The sequence below is a fragment of the Homo sapiens genome, chromosome 1, assembly GCF_000001405.40.
Source record: "Homo sapiens chromosome 1, GRCh38.p14 Primary Assembly".
Lineage (NCBI taxonomy): Eukaryota > Metazoa > Chordata > Mammalia > Primates > Hominidae > Homo > Homo sapiens.
In genome coordinates, this window is record NC_000001.11 from 151,348,768 (window position 1) to 151,362,409 (window position 13,642).

Below are 13,642 nucleotides of genomic sequence, written 5' to 3' on the forward strand. Positions count from 1 at the left end.
GTTTTCTAATAACAGCTAAAATTTATTTGGTGTTTATTAGGCCAGGCGCGGTGGCTCACGCCTGTAATCCCAAAACTTTGGGAGGCTGAGGTGGGCGGATCACCTAAGGTTGGGAGTTCGAGACCAGCTTGACCAACATGAAGAAACCCCGTCTCTACTAAAAATACAAGATTAGCCGGGCGTGGTGGCGCATGCCTGTAATCCCAGCTACTCGGGAGGCTGAGGCAGGAGAATCACTTGAACTGGGGAGGCGGAGGATTGTGCCATTACACTACAGCCTGGCAACAAGAGCGAAACTCCGTCTCAAACAAAAACAAACAAAAATTTATTTGGTGTTTATTAGGTATCAGACACCATACCAAATGCTAAACACCTCGTGTAATGCTCACAGCAACTCTCTGAAGTAGGTACTGTTACTGTCTCCATTTTACAGATGAGGAAACCAATGTGGAGAGGTGAAGGGACTTGTCCTTAGTCATATATGTAGAAAGTGCTAGAATCAGGATCCAAAGGCAGGCAGTCTGCCTCAAAGCTGATTGTTTTGAGCACTGCCTTAGACTGCATGTATACATATTTGCAGATACTCATAAATAAATATGGGTATAACGGGCTGGACATGATGGCTCATGCCTATAATCTCAATACTTTGGGAGGCAAAGGCAAGAGGATTGCTTGGGGCCAGGAGTTTGAGACCAGCCTGGGCAACAAAGTGAGACTCTGTCTCTCTCTAAACACACACACACACACACACACACACACACACACACACACACACACACACCACACACAGCCAGGTGTGGTGGTACATGCCTGTGGTTCCAGCAACTTGGGAGGCTGAAGCAGGAGGATCACTATTACCCATGAGTTCGAGGCTGCAGTGAGCTATGATTGCACCACTCTGTCGTGCAGCCTGGGTGACAGAGTAAGACCCTGTCTCAAAACAAACAAACAAACAAAAAACAAAAAAAAAGCCGGCTGGTGTGGTGGCTCATGCCTATAATCCCAGCACTTTGGGAGGCTGAGGTGGGCAGATCACCTGAGGTCAGTTTGAGACCAGCCTGACCAACATGGAGAAACCCCGTCTCTACTAAAAACAAAAAACAAAAAACAAAACAAAAAACAAAACAAAATTAGCCAGTCGTGGTGGTGCATGCCTGTAATCCCAGCTACTTGGCAGGCTGAGGCAGGAGAATTGCTTGAACCTGGGAGGCGGAGGTTGGGTGAGCCGAGATCATGCCATTGCACTCCAGCCTGGGCAACAAGAGCGAAACTCCATCTCTAAATAAATAAATAAATAAATAGCAAGCCAAATATGGATATAGACTGATGGAAAGATAGCCCTAACACCACTGTTTGGTATGAAGGAGAACCTAGAGCACTTTGGTTGCAAACAGAGTTTTGGGTAAGTTATCTAGCTTAAAAATTTGCAGATAACAGGGAAAAACTGGAAGCTTTAGTAAGGGGGGAGAAAGTATCATAGTACATAGTACCTAGTAAAAGAGATGATTTTGACAGCACTATAGAAGGTAGAGTTGAGTGAAAGAAAAGGCTAGAGATAGGAAAGAGGAAACTATTAATTTATGCCAGGCATTGTGTTAAGAGCTAGGGATACAAAGCTGAATAAGGTATGGTCCTTGCCTTGGGCAGTAACAATAAAAATTGTCCGGATAAGCATCATATAACAGCAAGTATTTATACAGAGCCTAATATGTGTTGGGGCCCGTTCTTTTTTTTTTCGAGACGGATTCTTGCTCTGTCACCCAGGCTGGAGAGCAGTGGCGCAATCTCGGCTCACTGCAAGCTCTGCCTCCCAGGTTCAAGTGATTCTCCTGCCTCAGCCTCACAAGTAGCTGGGACTACAGGCGCCTGCCACCACACCGGGCTAATTTTTTTGTATTTTTAATAGAAACGGGGTTTCACCATGTTAGCCAGGATGGTCTCTATCTCCTGACCTCGTGATCCGCCCGCCTCAGCCTCCCAAAGTGCTGGGATTACAGGCGTGAGCTACCGCGTGCGGCCTCAGATAGATACTATGATTATCCCCATTTTACAGGTGAGGAGACAGGCATTGAAAGGTTAATAATTTGCCCAAGATTACATCATAATTTAGTAAGCTATGGAGCCAGGATCTGCACCTAGGCTCTTTGCGTTGCAGCTTTTTTTTTTTTTCCTTTTTAGACAGAGTCTCACTCTGTCATCCAGGCTGTAGTGCAGTGGCTCCACTGCACTTGGCTCACTGCAACCTCTGCCTCCCAGGTTCAAGTGATTTTCCTACCTCAGCCTCCTGAGTAGCTGGGATTACAGGCGTGTGCCACCACACCTGGCTAATTTTTGTATTTTTAGTAGAAATGGGGTCTCACCATTTTGGCCAAGCTAGTCTTGAGCTCCTGACCTCAAATGATCCACCCACCTTGGCTTCCAAAAGTGCTGGGATTATAGGCGTGAGCCACCATGCCTGGCCTGTTGCAGCTTTTTCACTCTTGCTGTTTGGAGAGTGGGAGGGAGTGTTCCAGCATTTTCACTTCAACTGCTGGTGGACTCTGTATTCTTGTCCCACGACCAAGAAGAATAAGGTGTGTAGACACTGGAGAGTGAGTAAGGCAGTCAGATTTATTTATTTATTTACTTATTTATTTTATTATTTTTTTTGAGATGGGGGAGTCTCACTCTGTCACCTGAACTGGAGTGCAGTGGCATGATCTTGGCTCACTGCAACCTCCGCCTCCCGGGTTCAAGCGATTCTCTTGCCTCAGCCTCCCAAGTAGCTAGAACTGTAGGTGCCTGCTACCACACCCAGCCAATATTTTGCTTTTTGTTTTTTTTTTGGCGGGGGGGCGATGGAGTTTCACTCTGTTACCAAGCTGGAGTGCAGTGGCACAATCTTGGCTCACTGCAACCTCCACCTCCTGGGTACAAACAATTCTCCTGCCTCAGCCTCCCAGGTAGCTGAGATTACAGGCGCCTGCCACCATGCCCAGCTAATTTTTGTATTTTTAGTAGAGATGGTGTTTCACCATGTTGTCCAGGACGGTCTCAATCTCTTGACCTCATGATCTGCCCGTCTTGGCCTCTCAAAGTGCTGGGATTACAGGTGTGAGCCACCGAACCTGGCTAATTTTTTGTATTTTTAGTACAGACGGGGTTTCACCATGTTGGCCAGGCTGGTCTCAAACTCCTGACCAGCCAGAGTCAGATTTATTAAGCAACAGAAAAGCTCTCAGCAAAGAGGGGGCCTGAAAGAGGATTGCCAGCTATGAGGCTGAGTGGGAGGGTGAGGAGGGTGGCTTATGGACTGGGAAAGGGAGGAGTGTGCTGATCGGGCCTGCAGGCTATCTTGCAGAAAGCACCACTCAGAAAGAGGTATGATAGTGTAAAGAACCAGTTGGAGGCAGAAGTGAAGGCTTGGCTCAACAACTTGGCCTGGAACCAAGTCAGGGGCTGAAGTGAAAGCTTGGGCCAGGACCTTGGCCTGGAACCAATCAGGGGCTGAAGTGATGATTCACCCTATGTAAATGAAGACTCCCGCTGTGGCCAATCACAGAAAGGTAAGCATATGTAAAATAGATGAAAACTAAGAGACTAAGGTGTGCCAAAGAGAGTGAAATATGTCCAAAAAGGGAGTGGTATTTGTTCATCTGGGTTCCTAGAGTAGGTATTTCCATTCCAGGATGCGGGCTGTCACTTATCTGGGGCCTGCAGTTTAATTTTCAGGCTGTTCTTTGTTTGAAGGAGTTTTACCAAGGACCCACCTTAACTGCCTGCCTGACTGGTTTCTTCTTTCTCCTCTCTCATTTCATTCAGAATTTGCTCTTGGACACTATTATACATTGCCTACTAAGATTGGGAGTGAATTTTTTTTTTATTTTTTAAGACAGTGTCTTGCTTTCTCACGCAGGCTGGAGTGCAGCAGCACAAGCTCGGCTCACTGCAACCTCCACCTCCCGAGTTCAAGCAATACTCCTGCCTCAGCCTTCCGAGTAGCTGGGATTACAGGCACGTGTCACCACACACGGCTAATTTTTTATATTTTTGGTAGAGATGGGATTTCACCATGTAGGCCAGGCTGGTCTTGAACTCCTGACCTCAAGTGATCTGCCCATCTTGGCCTCCCAAAATATTGGGATTACAGGCGTAAGCCACTGTATCTGGAGCTTTTTTTTTTTTTTTTTTTTTTTTTTACCACTGCACTCCAGCCTGGGTGTCAGTGAGACTCTGTCTCAAAAATAAATAAAGAAAGAAACAAATGAACAGCTGGGCACAGTGGCGCATGCCTGTAATCCCAGCACTTTGGGAGGCTGAGATGAGTGGATCACTTGAAGTCAGGAGTTCAAGACCAGCCTGGTCAATATGGTGAAACCCCATCTCTACTAAAATTATAAAAATTAGCTGGGCTGTGGTGGCGTGTGCCTGTAATGCCAGCTACTTGGGAGGCTGAGGCGGAAGAAACACTTGAACCTGGGAGGCGGAGGTTGCAGTAAACCTAGATGGCGCCACTGCACTCCAACCTGGGCAACAGAGTGAGACCCTGTCTCAAAAAAATAGGTAAAAATAAATAAATAAATAAATACAATACAATACAATAATAAAAAAGAATACAAAGACAAGCTGCAAATTGGGAGAATATATTTTCAAGACATATAACTGACAAAGGATTATTATCTGGAATTTTTGAAGACTTCCTACAAAAAAAGATAACCAGCTGGGCATGGTGGCTCACGTCTGTAATCCTAGCACTTTGGGTGGCTGAGATGGGCAGATCACTTGAGGCCAGGAGTTTGAGACCAGCCTGGCCAACATGGTGAAACTCTATCTCCACTTAAAATACAAAAATTAGCATTAGCTGCGCATAGTGGTGCACACCTGTGGTCCCAGCTACTTGGGAGGCTTAGGTAGGAGAATCGCTTGAACCTGGGAGGCAGAGGTTGCAGTGAGCTGAGATCGCACCACTGCACTCCAGCCTGGGCATCAGAGTGAGACTCTGCCTCAAAAAAAAAAAAAAAAAAGAAAAGAAAAAGAAAAAAAAGATAACAAACTAGAAAAATGGATGGGAATTTCACAAAAAAAGCAGAAATGGCTCATAAACATATGAAAAGTTATTCCCTATGTAATAATCAGGAAAATGCAAATTTTAGAAGATACCATTTCACACCCACTAAATTGGCTTTTTTTTTTATTTGAGACAGGTTCTTGCTCTGTCACCCAGGCTGGAGTGCAGTGGCGTGATCATGGCTCACTGCAGCCTTGACCTCCTGGGCTCAAGCAGTCCTCCCACCTCAGCCTCCCGAGTAGCTGGGATCACAGGCACGGTACCACACCCAGCTAATTTTTTTGTATTTTTTGTGTAGACAGAGTGTCACCTTGTTGCCCAGGCTGGTCTTGAACTCCTGAGCTCCAGCGATCTGCCCACTTTGGCCCCCCAAAGTGTTGGGATTACAGGTGTGAGCCACAGCAAAAGTTTTAAAGTCTGGCAATATTGAGGGTTGACATGGTTATGAATCAACAAGCGCTTTCATTCACTGTTGCGGGAGTGTAATTTGGTAAAACTGTTTTGGAAAATAGTTTGATATTACCTGGTGAAGTCGAATATGTGAGTATTTCAATTTACATTTAATATCTCAGTAATCCTGCTCTTAGACATATGCCCTAAAAACACAGGCAGTAAAGTTTATAGTCTCACTGCTTGCATTAGCAAAAACTGGAAATGACCCAATATCCGTCAACCCTAGAATGATAAGTTGTGATATATTCACTGGATGGAATGTCATAGAGCAGTGGAAATTAATGAGCTACAGCCACACACATCCACTGGATGAACTTCAGAAAGTGAAAAAACCAAAACCCAGAAGAAAACATACAGTGCAATGCAATTTATAAATATTTAATATCAGGCAAAACTGAACAATATATTGTTTATGGGTAAATACATAGGTGGTAAAAATAATTAATAAAAAGCAATAGAATCATGACCATAAAATTAAGGATAGAAGTTACCTATAGTGAGCAAGGGAAAAGAGTTTGGGAATGGTTGTTTGGCAGTTAGTAACACCTTACATAGCATCTAATTTAATATGCTTGTTTTCCAATGAATGGCCAGCCATTTCAATATATACTATCATTTTCTTCTTCTTTTAACTGTTTCCTTTTACAGTTTTATCATATGCTTTTATTGTATACTAAGTTTCCTTGTATAGTTAGGTGTATTTCTGGATCTTAGCCTCTCTTTTTAAAAAAATTTTAATTTAATTTTATTTTTTTAAGACAGAGTCTCACTCTGTTACCCAGGCTGGAGTGCGGTGGCAGGATCCTAGCTCACTGCAGCCTCAAACTCCTTGGCTCAAGTGATCCTCCCACCTTGGTGACCTGAGTAGCTGAGATTATAGGCGCATGTCTCTTTTGTTGATTCTTTTTGTCTATTTCTCCACCCATAACACACTGTTTTAGTTAATGTTTTGAAATACTATATTTCAAAGTATAGTATATTTTGAAATCTAATGCTGAGAGTCTTCTGTTATTGGTTTTATTAACTAAAAAAATTATTCCTATATATGGAAGATTGTATTTTCCAAATGTGGCCACAATGTTTCTGGTTCCACACACTGTTTCAGAACCTTACAACTTCCCTGTCAAGAGGTGGAGTCGGCCGGGCATGGTGGCTCACACCTGTAATCCCAGCACTTTGGGAGGCTGAGGCAGGTGTACCACCTGAGGTCAGGAGTTTGAGACCAGCCTGGCCAACCTGGTGAAACTCTGTCTCTACTAAAAATACAAAAAATTAGCTGGATGTGGTGGCGGGTGCCTGTAATCCCAGCTATGTGGGAGGCTGAGGCGGAAGAATTGCCTGAACCCAGGAGGCAGAGGTCGCAGTGAGCTGAGATCATGCCATTGCACTCCAGCCTGGGTGACAGAGTGAGACTCCGTCTCAAAAATAAATAAATAAATAAACAGATAGATACATAGATAAATAAATAAATGAAAGAAATGGAGTCTAGTCCCCTGTTTCCTTGAACCTGGGAAGGCCTTTGTGACAGGCTCAGTAATTGGAATGTGGTGGAAGTGATGCTGTGTGACTGTCAAGTGTCGGCTGGAGTAGGTGACACACCTTCACATTTGCTGCTCTCTCTTGGAACACTCGCTCTTGGAACCCAGCTACCATGTTGTGAGGGAGCCAAGCAGCCATATGGAAAGGTCATGTGTAGATGTTCTGGCCCCAGCTGAAGGTCCAAGTGACAGCAGCATGAGTCTCCAGACATGTGAGTAAGTGAGCTATCAGATGATTCTAGCCTCTAGCCTTTAAGCTGCCTCCACTGACACCAAGCAGAGACAAGCTGTTCCTGCTGAGCCCTGTCCAAACTACAGATCTGTGGGCAAAAGTAATGTTGTCATTGCTTTAAGCCACTAAGTTTTGGGGTAGTTTGTTACACAGCACTAGGTAACTGGAACAGTATACATTCGCATTTCCAGGCTAGTTTTAGAAAGAGCTTGTCAAGTTTCATAAAAAATCTCACCCCTCTGAGGTAACATGTTCTGATAAGTATCCTGCCGTATTCACTTCCATGTCATTGCAAACACAGGGCCACTTAAATAGAGGTTTTGTTTTGTTTTGTTTTCTGAGATAGAGTCTCGCTCTGTTGCTCAGGCTGGAGTGCAGTGATGCAATCTCGGCTCACTGCAACCTCTGCTTCCCAGGTTCAAACGATTCTCCTGCCTCAGCCTCCTGAGTAGCTGTAACTACAGGTGTGTGCCAGCATGCTCAACTAATTTTTGTATTTTTAGTAGAGATGGGGTTTCACCATGTTGGCCAGGTTGGTCTCAAACTCCGGGCCTCAAGTGATCTGCCCTCCTTGGCCTCCCAAAGTGCTGGGATTGCAGGCGTGAGCCACTGCGCCTGGCCTTAAATAGAAGTTTTTGTTGCTATTGTGGTTGAATTTGTTTTTAAAACTGGGGATTATACTATAGTTATAGAATTATTCACATAACTCTACGATTACTTTTTTTCATGAACAATGTATTGCACACATTCCTCTAGGTCAGATAGTATTGAGAGTAGAGAGTCTGCCACACATCAAAATAAGGAAGTCAGGGAAGGGACTCCTAAGAGCATGCCAGAGGAGGCACAGAGCAGATATCCAGAGCATGGAGCCAGCTGGTCAAACACTTGGAAGATGAAAGTGGGAGGACTGGATGCAGGAATGTGAGAAGGAGGACCTCACTAATCCCTGAGATGAGTGCAATTGCCTGATGCTGTCTTTTAGAGACTTACTGGAGTGCAGTGTGTGAGATAATGCTTGAAGGACCAACGATGGGATAGAAATCTCCCAATGCTCTCTTATATCCTTTGTCCTGGTGGACTGGCACTACAGCTTTTCTGAGGGTGTCCCTGAGCTCAACAAACTTTCTAGAACCTTCTACATGGCCTCATAAGCCATGGTGCTGGCAGGAGATCCTAGGTGATATAGTAGACTTTTCCCACAGCACACTCCTCAGCTTTGCTATTCTTGCTCATCTAGCCTGGTTCTGGGGTGTGGGGTAGAATCTTTGTGAGTGCAGCAGAGAGAGGTATCTGGGTGGGTACCCTCTGCATGTTGCTGGTGCCTGGGTTGTCTGTTACAGGAGGGCCTCTTGTTTTTGGAGTCTGTTTCAGTGATGTAGGGTTAGACATAGTGAGAGGATGCCAAGATCAGGATAAAAGTGAATAGAATTTTAAGCTTTTATTATGAAAAAGATTTCTTTCTTTACAAAATTAATTTTATTGTGTATATTTAAGATATATATAATATTACTATAGTGAAGCAAATTAATATATACGTCTTCTCACAGTTACTCAATTTTTTTTTGTTTTTTTTTTGGAAGAACAGCTAAAAACTATGAAAAATTTCAAATATATAAGAGGAGAAGGAAGAATGTAATAAACACTCACATACACATACCCATCATCCTGCTTGAATGATTGTCCACATCTGATCATCTATTTTTTTTTTTTTTTTGAGACAGAGTCTTGCTCTGTCGCCCAGGCTGGAGTGCAATGACATAATCTCTGCTCACTGCAACATCTGCCTCCTGGGTTCAAGGGATTCTCCTGTCTCAGACTCCCTGGTAGCTGGGATTACAGGCATGCGCCACCACACCTGGCTAATTTTTTGTATTTTTAGTGCAGACAGGGTTTCACCATGTTGGTCAGGCTGGTTTCAAACTCCTGACCTTGTGATCTGCTCACCTTGGCCTCTCAAAGTTCTGGGATTACAGGTGTGAGCCACAGCGCCCAGCCCCCCCAACCTTTTTTTTTGAGACGGAGTTTGGCTCTTGTCGCCCAGGTTGGAGTGCAGTGGCGTGATCTCGGCCTGCAACCTCTGCCTCCCAGGTTCCAGCGATTCTCCTGCTTCAGCCTCCTGGGTAGCTGGGATTACAGGCACAGACCACCATGCCTGGCTAATTTTTGTATTTTTAGTAGAGATGGGGCTTCACCATGTTGGCCAGACCGGTCTTGAACTCCTGACCTCAGGTGATCTGCCTGCCTTGGCCTCCCAAACTGCTAGGATTACAGGCATGACCCACCGCACCTGGCCCTGATCTTTTTTTTTTTTTTTGACAGAGTCTCGCTCTGTTGCCCAGGCTGGAGTGAAGTGGCGTGATCTTGGCTCACTGTAACGTCGGCCTCCCATGGTCAAGAGATTCTCCCGCCTCAACCTCCTGAGTAGCTGGGATTACAGGCATCTGCCATGATGCCCAGCTAATTTTTGTATTTTTAGTAGAGATGGGGTTTCACATGTTGACCAGGCTGGTCTTGAACTCCTGACCTCAGGTGATCCGCCCACTTCAGCCTCCCAAAGTGCTGGGATTAGAGGCGTGAACCACCGCGCCTGGCCGATCATCTTGTTTTATCCATGCCTCCCCACTCTAAGTTAATATAATGCAGACATTCATTATATTGTATCATCTTTAAATACTTAGGTATTTACAGTAAATAATTTAATGTGACTAAAAAATAAAGACTCTCTTTTAATAATGCCCAAAGCCATGATCACACCTAAAAATTAAAAATTATCTCTTAGTATCATTACACATCTAGTCAGTGTTCAAATTTCTCTAGTTTTCTCAAAAACTGTATTTTTCTCTTGATAGGTTCAAATCAGGATCAACAAAGGTCACGCATTGCGTTGTAATTGGTTCGGTTAATGTGTTTCCTAATTCTTTCTAATCCATAGTCTGTCTCTCTCAGTGGGTCTGTTGAGGAGACAGGTCATTTGCTCTATAAGATTTCTCACATTCTGGATTTTTATTATTGTATCTTTATGGTGGTGTTTGTTTGTTTGTTTGAGACAGGGTCTGGCTCTGTCACCCAGGCTGGAGTGCAGTGGCATGATCACAGCTTACTGCAATCTCCACCTCCTGGATTCAAGCAATTCAAGCAGGATGATGGGTATGTTTATGTGGGCATTTATTACATTCTTCCTTCTCCTCTTATATGTTTGAATTTTTTCATAGTTTTTAGCTGCTCTTGCCAAAAAAACAAAAAAACGAGTAACTATTTGAGATGTTGTGTGCCTATGGTCCCAGCCTCAGCCTCTGGAGTAGCTGGGACCACAGGCACATGCCACCATGCCCAGATAATTTTTGTATTTTTTTGTAGAGAGGGGGTTTTTGCCATGTTGGCCAGGCTGGTCTTGAACTCCTGAGTTTAAGTGATCCACCCGGCTTGGCCTCCCAAAGTGCTGGGATTACAGGAGTTAGTCACCGTGCCTGGCCTATAGTATTTTTAAACTTGTTCTTCTGTTCCTTGTATCTCCTATAAACTGATGAGAGACCTAGAGGCTTGATCAGACTTTTTTTTTTTTTTTTTTGAGATGGAGTTTCTCTCTTGTTGCCCAGGCTGGAGTGACTGCAGTGGCACGATCTTGGCTCACTGCAACCTTTGCCTCCCAGGTTCAAGTAATTCTCCTGCTTCAGCCTCCCAAGTAGCTGGGATTACAAGCATGTGCCACCAGTCCTGGTTAATTTTTTGTATTTTTAGTAGAGATGGGGTTTCACCATGTTGGCCAGGCTGGTCTCGAACTCCTGACCTCAAGCGATCTATCCGCCTTGGCCTCCCAAAGTGCTGGGATTACAGGCATGAGCCAACACATCCGACAGGTGGGCAGCTCTGTTGCCCAGGCTGGAGTGCAGTGACGTGATCTCAGCTCACCAAAACCTCCATCTCCCATGTTCAAGCTATTCTTCTGCCTCAGCCTCCTTAGTAGCTGGGACTACAAGTGCACACCACCACACCTGGCTAATATTTGTATTTTTGGTAGAGATGGGGTTCACCATATTGGTGAGGCTGGTCTCGAACTACTGGCCTCAAGTGATCCACCCGCCTCGTCCCCCCAAAGTGCTGAGATTACAGGTGTGAACTACCATGCCCATCCCTTTTGTTCATTTTCTAACTGGAGTGTTTGGTTTTTTACTGTTGAGTTTTTAGAGTTTTCCACTCATTCTAGATACAAATCTTTTGTCAGATATGGCATGAATCCTTTAGACATAGCCCCAGTTGTCTTTTTTTTTTTTTTTTTTTTTTGTGACAGAGTCTCGCTCTGTCGCCCAGGCTTGATCGAGTGCAATGGCGTGATCTTGGCTCGCTGCAAGCTCTGCCTCCCAGGTTGAAGTGATTCTCCTGCCTCAGCCTCCTGAGTAGCTGGGATTACAGGCGTGTGCTACCATGCCCGGCTAATTTTTGTATTTTTAGTAGAGATGGGGTTTCACCATTTTGGCCAGGCTGGTCTCGAACTCCTGACCTCAGATGATCCAGTCACCTCTGCCTCCCAAAGTGCTGGGATTACAGGCGTGAGCCACTGCGCCCGGCCGCCCCAGTTGTCTTCAGTAGTTTCCCTGCCTTCAGGTAGGGCAATTGCTCTTACCAGAATGAAGAAGATGAATGGGATGGAATATTGCTGAGTGGAATTTTAAGCTTTTAGGAAGAGATAGAAATGATGTAGAACTACATTATCCTTTCTCATTCTGAAGAAGTTTGGTTATTGAAGAGAACAGAGCAGAGACCAAGGAGAGAAACTTCTGGTAAAACCTTGTAAATCCCAAGGCTCCCTGTAACTTCCTACTCATTTTGAGCACTTCCTTTATATCCATTTATTCATTAAAGTGTACTAAGTGCCAACATCCAAGCTAGGTGCTGGGAGTTAACAGGGAGTTTAGATTCCAAGAGACATGAGTTTATGATGAGGTTAAGTGTGGCAGGCTTTGTGAGCGTTAAAATGGGCCCCTGGCCTGGAGGAGCCAGGGAAGGAGGCTTCCCAGAGGACAAGGAAATCTGGCCTGGATGGCAGGTGAGGCAGAAGGAGGGAATCAGGACTCCAGTTGAGGTGGACATTTCAGGGAGCATGTTTAAAGGCCTCAAAGGGAAAGTATGGTGTATTCCTGGGGTGGTGAGACCATCCTGGGGGTCCTAGGCTGCTCCAATGTTTAAAAGAAAGACACCTTTTCAGAAGACTGAAAAGAATGTAGGTCAATACCTGAATGTTGTTTAATATTGTCTAGGGAGAGAATAAAGGAGTCAGTAGAATTACCATTTGGGCTGGGCACAGTGGCTCATGCCTGCAATTCCAGCACTTTGGGAGGCCGAGGTGGGCAGATATCTTGAGTTCAGAGGTTCGAGACCTGCCTGGCCAACATGGTGAAACCCAGTCTCTACTAAAAATACAAAAATTATCCAGGTGTGGTGGTGCACGCCTGCAATCCCAGCTACTTGGGAGGCTGAGACAGAAGAATTGCTTGAACCCAGGAGGCAGATGTTGCAGTCAGCCAAGATCATGCCACTGCACTTCAGCCTGGGCGACAGAGCAAGACGCTATCCAAAATAAAATAAAATAAAATAATAATTACCATTTGGCTGCTATCTCTATCAAATTTCTATCAGATTCCTTCTATAAAGGAATTTCTATCAGATTCCTTCTATAAAGAATTGAGTCAGGTGTGATGATTATGCCTGTAACACTGAGGCTGCAGCGAGCTGTGATTGTGCCACTGTATTCCAGCCTGGGCACCAGAGTAAGACCCTGTCTCAAAAAAAAAAAAAAAAAAAAAAAAAAAAAGAATTGTAGGCAGGGCATGGTGGTTCACTTGTGTAATCCCAGCACTTTGCAAGGTTGAGGCAAGATGATCACTTGAGCCCAGGAGTTTGAGACCAGCCTGGGCAATATAGGGAAACCTTATTTTGAAAAAGAAGAAAAGAAGGAGGAGGAGGAAGGAAGGAGAAGAAGAGGAAGAAGGAGAAGAAAGAAAAAGAGGAGGAGGAAGAATAAGGAGAAGGAAAAGAGGAAGAAGGAGGAGGAGGAGAAGAGGAAGAGGAGGAAGAGGCAGAAAAGAAAGAAATGAAGAAGAGGAAGAAGAGAAGAAGGAGAAGAAGAAGAAGAACAACAACAGCAACAACAACAACAACAACAACACCTCCACCACCACCACCTAGCACAGGGAAAGGAGACATCTCTGAGTAAGGTTCTAAAATACCATCTGGGTGAGGAGACAAGAGTGCCATGGCCTGGCCTGTTGGATTGGTTCACCATGGTGTTCCTAGCCCTCCTGTGTGGTAATGTTCCTGTATTCCAGGTAGAGGTGACACATTTAACCTCCTGATATGGTTTGGATCTGTGTCTCC

General features: G+C 44.7%; 2 annotated features.

Moving 5' to 3' along the window:
- Positions 2,433 to 2,633: a silencer, noted in NCBI's record as "peak412 fragment used in MPRA reporter construct". NCBI's record gives its function as "represses an SCP1 promoter by STARR-seq MPRAs in K562 erythroleukemia cells {active_cell/tissue: K562}" and the evidence as "EXISTENCE:reporter gene assay evidence [ECO:0000049][PMID:32103011]".
- Positions 10,834 to 10,988: a silencer, noted in NCBI's record as "fragment chr1:151332077-151332231 (GRCh37/hg19 assembly coordinates)". NCBI's record gives its function as "represses an EF-1alpha promoter that drives an FKBP-Casp9 reporter gene in an ReSE screen in HepG2 liver carcinoma cells and K562 erythroleukemia cells {active_cell/tissue: HepG2 | K562}" and the evidence as "EXISTENCE:reporter gene assay evidence [ECO:0000049][PMID:32094911]".